Below are 12,336 nucleotides of genomic sequence, written 5' to 3' on the forward strand. Positions count from 1 at the left end.
CCTACTTGTTAGTAGTCTTGGGATGGTGGTAGTCAGAGGCAGGGACTGAAGAGGTGAGGGAATGACAGAACCGACATTTACCAGGCACCAGCTGTATACATTACACATGCCATCTCCTTTAATCTGCATCACAACCCTGTGAGATCAGTGCTATTCTTAGACCCATTTCACAGGTGAGCGAACTGAGGCCTTTAAAAGGTTACATCAACCTCTCAAGATCAGACACCAAACCATAGTTCAGCTAGGTGTCGCAGGGGGGAATACTTATTAAGTGCTAAGCACTGTATATGTATTGGTTCACTTAATCCTCAACAACCCTATGAGGTAGCTCCTGTTTAGAGACCCCCTTTTTTTAGAGGAGGAAACTAAGGCTTAGAGTGCAAGAGGGAGGTCCTTTGCGCAAAGGCATGGAGGAGATTTGAATTTAGGTTTAGGGCTGGGCCAGGAAGGGCACGGCAGCCGTTAAAAAAAGAGGCCCCCCTGGGAGGAGGGGAGCTGAAAGCCCTCTCCAACACCCACCCCAATCCTGGATTCAGACACAGACATTTCTGTGACATCCCTAACTTCCCACCTGCTACCTCAGGCCACAGCACCCAGGCACTAGGGCTCCCCTAGGCAGGTTTTTGAGGCATGTATTATTTTTGCAACACGGACATACATGTACCTCCTCCTGGTACTGCCTGGGGCTGCTGCAATAAGTTACCCTTTCCCCATTCTCATCTGTATGTGAAGTTCCCTGGCAAGGCCAAAGCCCAGGGCATCAGAATGAGCTTCCTGAACACCACATCCAGGCATAGAAGAGTTGTGTCATACATAGCTCAAGGTTACCCAGAACAGCAGGAGATGTGGTCCAGCATTTGGGCCTTGAGATCCCCCCATTCATCCTCTTGATTGTCCACAACAGCCTCTGCCATGCTTCAGTCTAACCTACGGAGGGGAGGCTGAGATTCCCAAGGCTTGGCATAGCCATGGGCAAGGTCCAGGCTGGTGCCCAGGAAAGCTGAAACTGAGGTCACTGGCTCCAGGACTTCTGCTGCCTGTCGGGTCTCCTGGCTGCCTGGGTTAGCTGCAGGCACTGGTTGTAGAATGACATGGGGCCTCTCAGGGGCTCTGAAGGCCATGGCTGCCTCTCATCTGTGCCTTTATCCTGGAGCTGGTGTCGCCTCTGCTGAAGCCTCCGCAAGTGCCGGGCTGACACCCTGATGGCCCTAGGGTCTCTGGAACAGCTGTAAGGAGAGAAGAGTGGGGCAGATGATCAGGGCTGACAAGGATCCCACCTTACTCTGCAGACAGTGGGCTGAGGCCCAGAGAGAGAGGGGGCTGGGGCCACAGTCACCAGCAAGGCAGAGAGGGGTGGGTTTCACGGAGAAAGGGTATAATAAACCGGGCTGGTACCTGGAGGCCTGGGTTCTGCCACTAGCTGGCTGTGGAAACCTGAGCCAGAAGCCTCAGCCTCATCTATGAAATGGGAAAGTTAAGAAGGAGCTGGCTTTGAGAATCGGAATCCAGATGAAAGCAGAGCACAGTGGCTCACGCCTGTAATCCCAGCACTTTAGGAGGCCGAGGTGGGAGGATCGCTCGAGTCCAGAAGTTCAAGACCAAATGAGATTGTGGATTAGGAGTGAGTTAAGTACACATTTTGCTGTGTGCCAGGCGGGGCATGACCTATGTGCATCCTGCCGTTTCCTTGGTTCCTACGACCATTTTACAGACAAAGACATGGAAACTTGGAAAGGTGAACCAGTTGCCAAGGTCATGTGGGAATCAAATGACAAAGCCAAGATGCGACCCATAGAGGCCAACTGCAGAGCTGGACCTGGGGCAGCAGGGGGTAGAGGGATGAGGCTATGGATAGGAGCTCAGAGGTCTCCGGATCCCTTCCCCTACCCCTTGGCCCAAGCATTCAAAGTGGGTATAGGCAACCCACCCTTTGAGAAAACCCCCCATCCCTCCTGGCTCTGACATCACTTACTTTTTGCCTTCCACACAGTCCAGTGGAGGGGCCAGCTTGAAGCAGGTTGTGCCCAGCAGCTCCCAAAGCATGTTGGTAACCTCGGGTGGGCTGTGGAGCCTCAGGAAGCGTGCCAGACTGAGAACAGAGGCAGGCTCAGGCCGGGGCAGGGCCTTGCCAGCCAGGGGCCCCTTCCCATGCCTGGCAGCAGGCAGCCCACCCCGCGAGGGTTCAAAGGGGCCTCACCGGCGCGTGCAGTTGCAGTGGAAGAGGGGCTCTTGGGCGCTGTTGAGCAGCTGGAACTCGATTTCCCGGGGCCCAATCTGGTGCTCACACTGGTCCAGGTGGCGGCGGAAGCTGCGGCAGACCCAGCGGGCACCTGAGGGGTGGATGTGGTGTTGATGGGAGCCCAATCCACCAGGGAGGCCCCACCAATGCCTGCGCCATCCGGGAGAAACACCAGCACGTGTGCTCAGTCACACACACAGATTCCCTCCATTTCATGCCTTCTGAGTCTTTGTGCCCTCAGTGTGCCGCCCTTGTGGCAGTGCCTCCCTACCCCCAAGCCGCCAAACACGGTAGTACTGCTATGGGGGACACCCAGAGTACTGACGGTAGTCAAGAAAGGCTTCCAGGAGGCATAGGCTGCTAAACTGAGGGTGGGAGAGAAGACAAGGAGAGGAGGAACAGCATGTGCAAAGGCCTCACGGTAGGAGAGAGCCTGGCGCTTTTGAGGAACCAAGTGAAGTTTGTGAAACTAGAGTTTTGACTGGGGGTAGGGTCTGCAGGGCCAAGGCTTGAGGGCCTCTGGGTGTTGGGACATCATTGGCTGAGATAAAGAGGAGTGGTGGTGGGTGCACAGTGGGGCCTGATGTGGTCAAATTCGTGGATTATGAAAATCCTGTGCTGCAGTGTGATTTCATGGGAGAGGTTGGGAAATCCCAGGAGGAAACTGGTGCAGGAAAAGAGGCAACACATGGCCACCCCTAAACAGAAGCAGGGACACCCCCTCATGTCAGGAACCCCCAAGGTTAGGTTCTGAGCTCACCCTGAGGTTTTAGGCCACCCTGTGGGCCCTGGAGGCCTGTGGGGGCCACATCAAGCCTGGGAGAGACCATAGGGTCCTGGAGGGCTGTGGTGTTGGCTTTGCTGGGGCGCTTGGACCCTTTCTGATGTGGTGGCCCCTTCCGAAGGTGCTGCTTCTGTCGAGGCTTGGGAGGGGCTGGGCTCCGGGAGCTGGGAGTTGGGGAGGTGGCCCGGGAGCTCCAGGAGGCATTGTAGAAGGTCCTGGGCTGCAGGCGAGCGAGGGGCACTGTGCCGTACATCCTACACCTGGGTGGTGGCAGTTGGTGGAAATTGGTGACTGGGAATCCCCCTTCCAGAAGCCCCCAGGGTCGTCTCCATGGAGATCAATGCTCTGCCAGTCCCATCCCCCATCCCGCTGGGTTGTGGGGGACACCCAAGGAGGGTCTGCATCCCGGGCCCTCAGGAGAGGACATGCAGGATGGGACATCATTCCCTGGAAGACAGACAGACAGATAGCTCTCCCTCACCAGGCTTGGAGCCTGGGCTCCCTCTCTGTCTGGAAAGGGACATGAGGGGGTGGCCACGTACCCGCCCCACCAGTACCACGCCACACACGCCTCCTGCTCCTCCAGCACAAAGCAGGGGATCTCCAGCACGTTGAAGAAGGCCACGCCCACGATGTCCGAGATGGAGTCGTGCTGATTCTGTAGGCATTGCTGAAACCTGCCCCAGAACAGATACCCAGGACCCTGGGGCATGGAGGGCTGTCTGGCTCCTCCCACAGCCCACTGTGCCACTACCAGCTGGGTGGTTTGGGGTCCAAGCATCCCTTCTTTCTGGCCTCAGCTTTCCTACCTGCACTGTGGGGTCCAAGCTGGCTGAGCTTTAAGATCCTCTGCAATCCCAATGTCTAGTTACCCAGGAACTGGGTAACTCTGCCCTGTCCCTGAGCTCTGGGCCCTCGCTGCCTGCCACCAACCTGGTGTCACAGTCACAGTGGGAGATGGTGTGGAATCGGTAGTTTCGGATGCCATAGTTGTACTGCAAGGGTGAGATGTTCTGTGGGCAGCGGTCATGTTCCCGGCAACAGAGATCAGGTCCCTGGAAGACCCCTGCAGGGAGGGGAGGGGAGAGGGCACCAACTCAGCAGGGTCCTAGGCATCATGCACCAGCTATGCCCCCCTGGTAGGAAGAGGGCAGAGACCTGGTTCTCACCCCAGCCCTGACACAAACGCCATGAGGGTCCTCAGACCAGTCACTCTCCCTTCTGTGGGACTCTCAGAGTTTCAAAGCTGGAAAAGAGAAGCCAAGCTGCAGCCTCTGTTGGGCAACTCTAAATGCCAGGTAGCCCACCCATAAATACATGGAAAGGTCTTCCTCAGGGGAATTGGAGTCTGCCTCCAGAGTTCCCAAGCCCACGCCCCAAATAAAACTCCAAAATTATGAATGTGTGTATGATGGAATGGCAAACAGGCAGGGTGCAACCTTTCTCACTGGCACAAGGAGGTGTCGCCAGGATGCCAACCTACTCTGACTCAGGTGCCAAGCCCTCCCCCAACCCTGCACACAAACGCACAGACATCTGTACTGATAGTGCAAGAAATTCATCTATGTTTATTACCATCTAAAAAATAGCACTCTTTACTAAGCATTTCCCACATGCCTGGCACTTCCCACATCCAGGTTCACAGCCAGCCCTGAAAGGGAGGTATCACCTTCATTTTACAGGTGAGGAAATAAGTCCAGAGAGGGGAAGTGACTTGCTCAGCTTGTATGTGCTGAGTTGGGATTTGAACCCAGGCCTTTCGTCTCAGCATCCATTCCACTGGGCACCCCGTGCCCACAAAGCCTCCTCCTGGGTAATGGCTTTTTGGCTCAGTTGACCCTGGATCCTCCCCCAGCCTGCCCAGTCCCTCGGATGGCATTTAATGAGGACTCCCAGGTTTGAATAAGACTTTCCCCAACCGTGACCTCATTTAAGCACCCCATGATGAGATTCGTGATTGCCCCCACTTTACAGATAAGGAAATTGAGGTTCACCATGGTCAAGTCACTCCCCCAGGGACACACAGCCTAGGAGAGTAAGGGCTGGGGCTGAAGAAACCTTGCTTCCCCGATCGGACCCCCCAGCCCACACACCCCTCATGGCTCACCCAGCTCCGAGGAGTTCCCAGCAGAATCTCCAACTCCACACCACAGTGTGCCAGGCATGGTCCATCCTCTCTTCTCTCGCTGGTGCCCTCCACCAGGGACTCCACTCTGCCCTGCTGCTCGCTTCTTCCTGGCCCCTGCTGGACTCTCCTCAAGCGCTCGGCATGCCTCCCACTGACTCTGAAGAGTGGCCAGTGCTCTCTGCAGCTCGGGTCCGGGGGTGTGGATGAAGGAGCCCCAGGCAGTCTCATGAGCACAGAGAGCACCGTAGGCTGCGGTGAGCTCCGGCTCATCCTCCCAGCTACATGACTGCAGCCTCCTATGCGCATCCCAGCGGGCATGGATCAGGGCCAGTCCCTGAGCATCCTTGGCCAGGAAGCTCAGGTACCCCAGTGGGTTGCCAGGGACGGCCTTGGTCAAGTGGCAGGAGGTCCTGTACCAGCGGAGGGCAGGGGAGCCCCCCAGGGCCACCCCCAGGAAGCCCAGCATCCCAAACAGCCCTGCCTGAACCCCCATTCTGCACTGGCCCAGTCCAGTCAGACAAAGCCCCTGGGATGCCTGCCCTTGGTGGCCCCACCAGGCGGCAGCTGAGCAGTGGAACGGAAGCGGAGCCCAGCAGGCCCGGTGCGGCGGGACCAATGAATGGAGCTGCGGGAGGAGGAGGAAAGAGGCTGGAGTATGGGGTGATCTTGGGCTTGTAACCGAATCCACCAGCCGGGCAGGACGCTGATTGGCTGAGGAGTGCACTTGCCAGGGCCCACGCCCCCATTCTGCCTGCCTTCTCAGCACCATCCAGTCACCTGCTGCCAGCCCTGCCTAGATTGGGACTATGGGAGCCAAAGCCCTAAGCTGTGGGATGGGGACCAGGCTGGGGCTTTCACATCTCCTTGAAGGGAAGGAAAAGGGTTCAGGAGCTTGGAGGAGTCCCTTAGAACCCACCCTTCTCACCCTTACCACAGCGGTGGCTGCCACATCCACCTCCATCAGGCTGGCAGGGGGCCATGGGCCTCTGCCAGGGCTGGGTGAAGGAAGGGCTGGGGCTCTGAAGCTACCACCCTGGGAGTTCCCAAGGCTTCTGGGAAAGGGAGTGCCACCTGGGGTGCTCCCCTGCCAAGTCCTGGTTCTTAGAAAGGCTCTCGGCATACTCAGGGGACAGAGCCCCAGGGCTCCCCGCTTCCTAGGACTCCAAGCATGGGCCTGGCCTTGCAGCAACCCTCCTGGTCTGATAACTGGGGGAGACGCAGCGGGAACAGGCCTTGAGAGCCACACAGGGCAGGGCTGATGCTCTGGATTTGAAAGAACTATGGTCCCTAGAGTGGCAGAGAGTGGCCCAGGGTGTATGTCTGTGGCCACCTCCATCCCTGGCCACCTGGGGGGACACAGCAGGCATCATGTGTGCCTCATGAGACAGGAATCTCTCCATCAGGAAGGGGCTATACCCAGGTATTGTTCCTGGATCCCAAAGCCCAGCTTCCAACCATCTAGTGAGGCCAGGGTGCTTACACCCATAGTGCAGATGAAGAAACTGAGGCTCAGTGAGGGTGGGAAAACCTCAGGTGACAGGCTCCAGCTGGGGAGGGCTTAGAGGATGGGAATGCAGCGCTTGGGGATCTGGATGGGAGTCAGGGCTGGCCAGGACAGTGACTTGTCTGTCTTCCATCTGCCCATTAGCCTGCTGCTTCTCCAGCCTCCCCCTGCCCCAGGCTCCATCTGAGTCTCTTCCAGGGGATGAGCCCCAGTGAGGTAAAGCCAGGGGCAGAGCTGGGGAAGGAGAGCTCACTGTGTGGCAGAGGGGGAAGGGGGCTGCAGGGTGGGCAGGTCCATCTCTGTAGCTTCAGAACCAGCCTGGGCCTGTGGCTCAAAGCATCATAGCTGGGAACAATGAAGAGAAGGGAAAGAGGGTAGGGCTAGTCCAGGGACCAAGCGCCTTCTTGCCAGAGGTTGAGAAAGGGGGTGTGGAATACAGCGAGTGGTGGCAGAGGAGGTAGACCTGGGGTCCCCAAGGGCAAGGATGTAGCTGAACAAAGGTGAGTCCTTCTGTGAAGAGTTGTGATGTTTGAAAAATCATCATGCTGAGACTTCCTCCCATCATAGGAACTGCCACCCACCTCTGCCCCCTTTTCCACATTGCTGAGCCCTTCCCTGCCCATCACCTGGGGAGGCTGGGAGGTAGGATACGAGGAGCCAAGCTTTCGAGGTCAGACAGGTCCAGCTTAGGTTTCCACACAGACCCTAGGCTTGGAAATCTTAACTTCTCTGAGTCTTAGTTTCCTCATCTGTATCATGGGCATAATCACAGTAGTCACTCCACAGGATGTTGGGTAAGATTCCCAGCACAGTTCCTGGCACCCAAAACACCATCACTAAAGCCTCAGGATACCCCTGGCCAGGAAGCAGTTTACTCAGGAGAAAGCAAGTCCCAAGATTTTGGGGCCACAGCATCTGTGATATCTGAGAGCTCGGGCTAGATGGCAACTGTGGGAACAGTGGCCAGGACACTACCTGCCTGGGTCACTCCAGGCTTGTCCCTGTCCCTTTCTGGGACTCAGTTTCCCCCACTGTACAGTGAGAAGTACAGTGGAGTTGAACTTTGAGGTCTTTTCCAGTCTGGGTCTCAAAGAACATCAGGCTGGGGCTTGCCCAGGCCTCGAGGGAGGGTGTCACTGAGCTTTCTGTCCAGACTCCACCCAAAAACAAGTCAGTCAGCCACAAGACAGGCTCAGAGTCCTGCCTTCCACCAGGGTGTCCCTCAGAGGCCCTGGAGCAGAGGGGCCAAACCAGCGAGACAGGAAGGCCTGGGTCCTGCAGACGGAAGAGGGTCTGAGGCTTTTCTCTGGCCCTCCACCTGTCTGGGTGAGGCAGGGTGCATAGTGGGTGCCAGTGGGGAGTAGGGGTGGGGGTTCATGAGAGAAGGAGGGGCAGGGCCTCTCCTTCTTCCCTGTGTGATCGTCTATCCCTGTCTCTCACCATCCTTCCCCATACACAAACCCCCAAACCCCGTGTGCCCTGCCCTTTCCCATTCATGTTTTCCCAGACATGACTTCACCTGAAGCTCACTACCCCTGCCTCTCCCTAGGGAGACAGGCAGGGTGGGGCTTCTCATCCCATAGTCCCATAGAGGTATGGAGTAAGGCCCAAGAAAAGGAGTGACTTGCTCACCCAGCAGATCCAGAGAGAAGCCAGCTTCGACTTCCCCTGGCATGTGAGGAAGGCCTCCCTGGGATCTGGGAGTCTCTTGGCTCTCCCACAGCCTCCTAGCCTCAGGCCTTCCTTCCCCAGTCGCCTGAAGGGTGCCTTCCTTCTGGCCCATGGAGCTGGCACTCCCAGCCTTACCCAGGGGCCTCTCTGTGGCTCTCTATGCCAGGAGAATGGGGGGGGCAGTGCCTAGCTCCAGAGTATTCTGTGTCCATTCAAAAACAAGTAGTTACTGAATCTACTATGTGCCAGGCACAGGTTGAGACTGTGGACACAGCCTGCGAAAGAGAGGAAGGAAGAGGGAATAGAGCGGTCAGGAGGGGTGGAGAGGGAACTCATGCCCCAGGGAACTGGGATCTGGCAGCCACAGAAAAGGGCCAGGGCCAGGGTGTCAGCTGGGTCCTCTAGGAAACTGCTGCCAACCTAGAGTTAGAAGTCCAAGAGATTCATCAGAGGAAATGCCTATGAAAGATAAAGGGGGAAGAAGCAGGACTGGGCAGGGAAAGCCTTCCGACTGTGTTTCAGATCTGACATCTATGGGAAGAGAGGGGAAGGAGGGTTGGTTGAGAAGAGCCTCATGTTGAAGTGCCACTCTGAAAAAGTCTCAGCCAGCCAACAGGGAGCTCTGGTGCAAAGACTGCCTGTAGAAGAGTCCCAATTGGGCAGAAATGGCCAAGCCCTAGTGTCCCAGCTGTGCCCAGACATTGGCTGGCAGACTTCCCAGGAAGACAGTGGCCTCTGCTTTGCAGATCCTGATGGTGCTCTGGCTGGAGGTTGTTAGGAGACTGCTGCCACATCTGGGAACGTACGCACCCATTTGGCTGGGGCAGCCCCCACTGCAGACCAGGAGAGGAAACCCAGTGAGACAGACAGAGTCTGGCATCTGGGGAGGAAGCCCAGAAGGCAGTCTTCTTCCAGGAGATCCTAGGGTTATGGAGTACAAATCTATGGCTATAGGACCATGCCTGTAACATTTCCAGGTAGTTCAGCCCCTAGCATACCTGCCATCAATGAAACCCAGCCCTAAGTATGAGGGAATAAAGAATGAGACACAACTTGTGTCTAAAACTAAACATCTCAGTAGATGGGAAGAAACACATTATTCAATTCAATAGCTTATTAAACTAGAATAAAAGAGACAGAGAGAGATGGGGAGTCAGGGACACTACAGAAATCATTCTAGGTCACAGAACAACATTAGAAGCTGTGGTGGTTTAAGAAGATGTGCAGAAATTCTTTGATACTCCTCCTTTCAAATGGTGGAGCCTAATTCCCCTACCTTGAGTATGAGCTACACTTAGTGACTTGCTTCTAACAAATAAAATGTGATGGAAGTGAGGTAACTTCTGAGACTAAGTCATAAAAGGCATTGTGCCTGACTTCTTGCTCTTCTTCCTGGATGACTCACTCTGTGGAAGCCAGCTGACATGTCACAAAGACATTTAAGCAGGACCAGGTGTGGTAGCTCACCCCTGTAATCCCAACACTTTGGGAGGCTGAGGCAGGAGGATTGCTTGAGGCCAGGAGTTTGAAACCAGGCTGACCAACATGGCAAGACCCTGTCTCAAAAAACAAACAAACAAACAAAAACAAAAACAATTAGCTGGGTATAGTGGCACACACCTGTGGTCTAGCTATTTGGGAGGCTGAGGTGGGAGGATCGCTTGTGCTCTGGAGGTGAAAGCTGCAGTGAACCATGATTGTACCACTGCACTCCAACTGCAACAGAGTTGCAGGATCTCACTGCCTCAAAAACAAGACAAAAGAAAAACAAAACAAAACAAAAAACAAAAAGGACATTCAAGCAGCCCTATGAAGATGCCCATGTGGTGAGGGAGGAACTGAGGCTTTCTGTTAACATTCTTGTGAGTGAGCCACTTGGAAGCAGACCCTTAAGCCCCAGTCAAGCCTTCAGATAAGTACAGCCCCATCTGACTTTTTTTTTGGAAACAGAACTTTTAAGATACAATTCACATACCATACAATGCATCCATTTAAAGTATACAGTTCAATGTTTTTTAGTATATCCATAGTTGTGCAACCGTCACCACTATCTAATTCCAGAACATTTTCATCATCCCAAAAAGAAATCCTGTAAGTCATTCTGCCTTCCTCTCTCCCCCATCCCCTATAAACCACTAATCTACTTTATGTCTCCATAGAGTTGCATATTCTTTTGTTTTGTTTTGTTTTGTTTTGTTTTGAGACGAAGTCTCGCTCTGTTGCCCAGGCTGGAGTGCGGTGGCGCAATCTTGGCTCACTGCAAGCTCCGCCTCCCGGGTTCACACCATTCTCCTGCCTCAGCCTTCTGCGTAGCCGGGACTACAGATGCCTGCCACCAGGCCTGGCTATAGAGTTGCATATTCTATACATTTCATATCTAGAGAATTGTACAATGTGTGGTCTTTTGTGATTGGCACTTTTCATTTAGCATAATGTTTCCAAGGTTCATCTGTGTTGTAGCAGCATCTATTTGTACTTCATTCCTTTTTATGACTGGATAAGATTCCATTGTATGGATATACCACATTTTGCTTTTCCATTCATCAGCTGGTGGACGTTTGGGTTGCTTCCATTTTTTGGCTATTATGAATAATGCTACTATGAACATTCATGTGCAAGTTTTTGGACATACTATTTTAATTTTTTTTTTTTTTTGAGATGCAGTCTTGCTCTGTCACCCAGGCTGGAGTGCAGTGGCATGATCTCGGCTCACCGCAACCTCCACCTCCCGAGTTCAAGCAATTCTCCTGCTTCATCCTCCCAAGTAGCTGGGATTACAGGCGTGCGCCACCACGCCTGACTAATTTTTGTATTTTTAGTAGAGATGGGGTTTCATCACATTGGCCAGGCTGGTCTTGAATTCCTGACCTCATGATTCACCTGCTTCAGCCTCCCAAAGTGCTGGGATTACAGGCATGAGCTGCCACGCCTGGCCATGGACGTATGATTTTATTTCTCTTGGGTATATACCTAGGAGTGAAATTGCTGGGTCATATGCTAACTCTATATTTAACATTTTGAGGAACTGCCAGGCTGATTTTCAAAGTGACTGCACTATTTTTTTTTAATTTATTATTATTATACTTTAAGTTTTAGGGTACATGTGCACAATGTACAGGTTAGTTACATATGTATACATGTGCCATGCTGGTGCGCTGCACCCACAGTGACTGCACTATTTTACATTCTTTTTTTTTTTTTTTTTTTTTTTTTTTTGAGACGGAGTCCCGCTGTTTAGCCCAGGCCGGATTGCAGTGGCGCAATCTCGGCTCACTGCAAGCTCCGCCTCCCAGGTTCACGCCATTCTCCTGCCTCAGCCTCCCGAGTAGCTGGGACTACAGGCACCCGCCACCGCGCCCGGCTAATTTTTTGTATTTTTAGTAGAGACGGGGTTTCACCGTGTTAGCCAAGATGGCCTCGATCTCCTGACCTTGTGATCCGCCCGCCTCGGCCTCCCAAAGTGCTGGGATTACAGGCGTGAGCCACCGCGCCCAGCCACTATTTTACATTCTTAACTGCAGTGTATGAAAGTTCTGATTTCACCACATCCTTGCCAACATTAGTTATTGTCTGTCTTTATAGCTGTCCTATTGTGAAGTGGTATCTCATTGTGATTTTGATTTGCATTTCCCTGATGACTAATGATATTGAGCATCTTTTCATGTGCTTATTGGCCATTTATATACATGTTGAGTATCCCTTATCTGAAATGTTTGGGACCAGAAGTGTTCAGATTTGGGTTTTTTTCAGATTTTGGAATATTTGCATTATACTTAACCAGCTGGGCATCTCTAATCAGAAAACCCAAAATCTTAAATGCTCCAACAAGCATTTCTTTTGAGCATCATGTTAGCACTCAAAAACTTTTGGATTTTGGAGCATTTTGGATTTTGTATTTTTGGATTAGGGATGCTCGACCTGTATTTTCTTTGGAGAAATGTGGCTGATGTCATCACTGTAACCTCATGCATTCTGAGCCAGAACTATTCAACTGAGCTACTCTTGAATTC

General features: G+C 53.4%; 1 protein-coding gene across 3 annotated transcripts, besides 3 other annotated features; it reads right to left on the reverse strand.

Annotated features, from left to right (window-relative positions):
* Positions 1-96: 96 nt before the first annotated feature.
* On the reverse strand, positions 97-5,798 carry PLA2G3 (phospholipase A2 group III). Of its 3 annotated transcripts, none has more exons than NM_015715.5 (7): positions 5,131-5,798; positions 3,957-4,089; positions 3,566-3,700; positions 3,000-3,283; positions 2,198-2,330; positions 1,973-2,089; positions 97-1,226 (listed from the first exon to the last, which is right to left on the reverse strand). In NM_015715.5, the coding sequence occupies exons 1-7, from the start codon at positions 5,642-5,644 to the stop codon at positions 1,013-1,015; spliced, it is 1,530 nt and encodes a 509-aa protein (NP_056530.2). In that variant the 5' UTR covers positions 5,645-5,798; the 3' UTR covers positions 97-1,012. The 3 variants fall into 3 exon arrangements, with proteins under 3 accessions (NP_056530.2, XP_011528507.1, XP_011528506.1); XM_011530205.2 differs by adding an exon at positions 4,193-4,269 and having other exon boundaries at positions 3,566-4,089; XM_011530204.2 differs by adding an exon at positions 4,182-4,269 and having other exon boundaries at positions 3,566-4,089.
* Positions 3,084-3,584: an enhancer, noted in NCBI's record as "H3K4me1 hESC enhancer chr22:31533780-31534280 (GRCh37/hg19 assembly coordinates)". NCBI's record gives its function as "activates a minimal SCP1, AML or CMV promoter by ChIP-STARR-seq in primed H9 embryonic stem cells {active_cell/tissue: H9 hESC(primed)}" and the evidence as "EXISTENCE:reporter gene assay evidence [ECO:0000049][PMID:30033119]".
* Positions 5,302-5,860: an enhancer, noted in NCBI's record as "NANOG-H3K27ac-H3K4me1 hESC enhancer chr22:31535998-31536556 (GRCh37/hg19 assembly coordinates)". NCBI's record gives its function as "activates a minimal SCP1, AML or CMV promoter by ChIP-STARR-seq in naive H9 embryonic stem cells {active_cell/tissue: H9 hESC(naive)}" and the evidence as "EXISTENCE:reporter gene assay evidence [ECO:0000049][PMID:30033119]".
* Positions 5,861-6,420: an enhancer, noted in NCBI's record as "H3K27ac-H3K4me1 hESC enhancer chr22:31536557-31537116 (GRCh37/hg19 assembly coordinates)". NCBI's record gives its function as "activates a minimal SCP1, AML or CMV promoter by ChIP-STARR-seq in naive H9 embryonic stem cells {active_cell/tissue: H9 hESC(naive)}" and the evidence as "EXISTENCE:reporter gene assay evidence [ECO:0000049][PMID:30033119]".

Source organism: Homo sapiens, chromosome 22 (genome assembly GCF_000001405.40).
Source record: "Homo sapiens chromosome 22, GRCh38.p14 Primary Assembly".
NCBI lineage: Eukaryota > Metazoa > Chordata > Mammalia > Primates > Hominidae > Homo > Homo sapiens.

Excerpts from the sequence above, each read along its gene's own strand:
- PLA2G3 (NM_015715.5), bottom strand. The coding sequence starts at position 5,644 with ATGGGGGTTCAGGCAGGGCTGTTTGGGATGCTGGGCTTCCTGGGGGTG. Across the intron at positions 4,090-5,130 it reads TGGGAACTCCTCGGAGCTGG|GGGTCTTCCAGGGACCTGAT; the intron begins GTGAGCCATGAG and ends CCCTCCCTGCAG. Across the intron at positions 3,284-3,565 it reads GCGTGGTACTGGTGGGGCGG|GTGTAGGATGTACGGCACAG; the intron begins GTACGTGGCCAC and ends GCCACCACCCAG.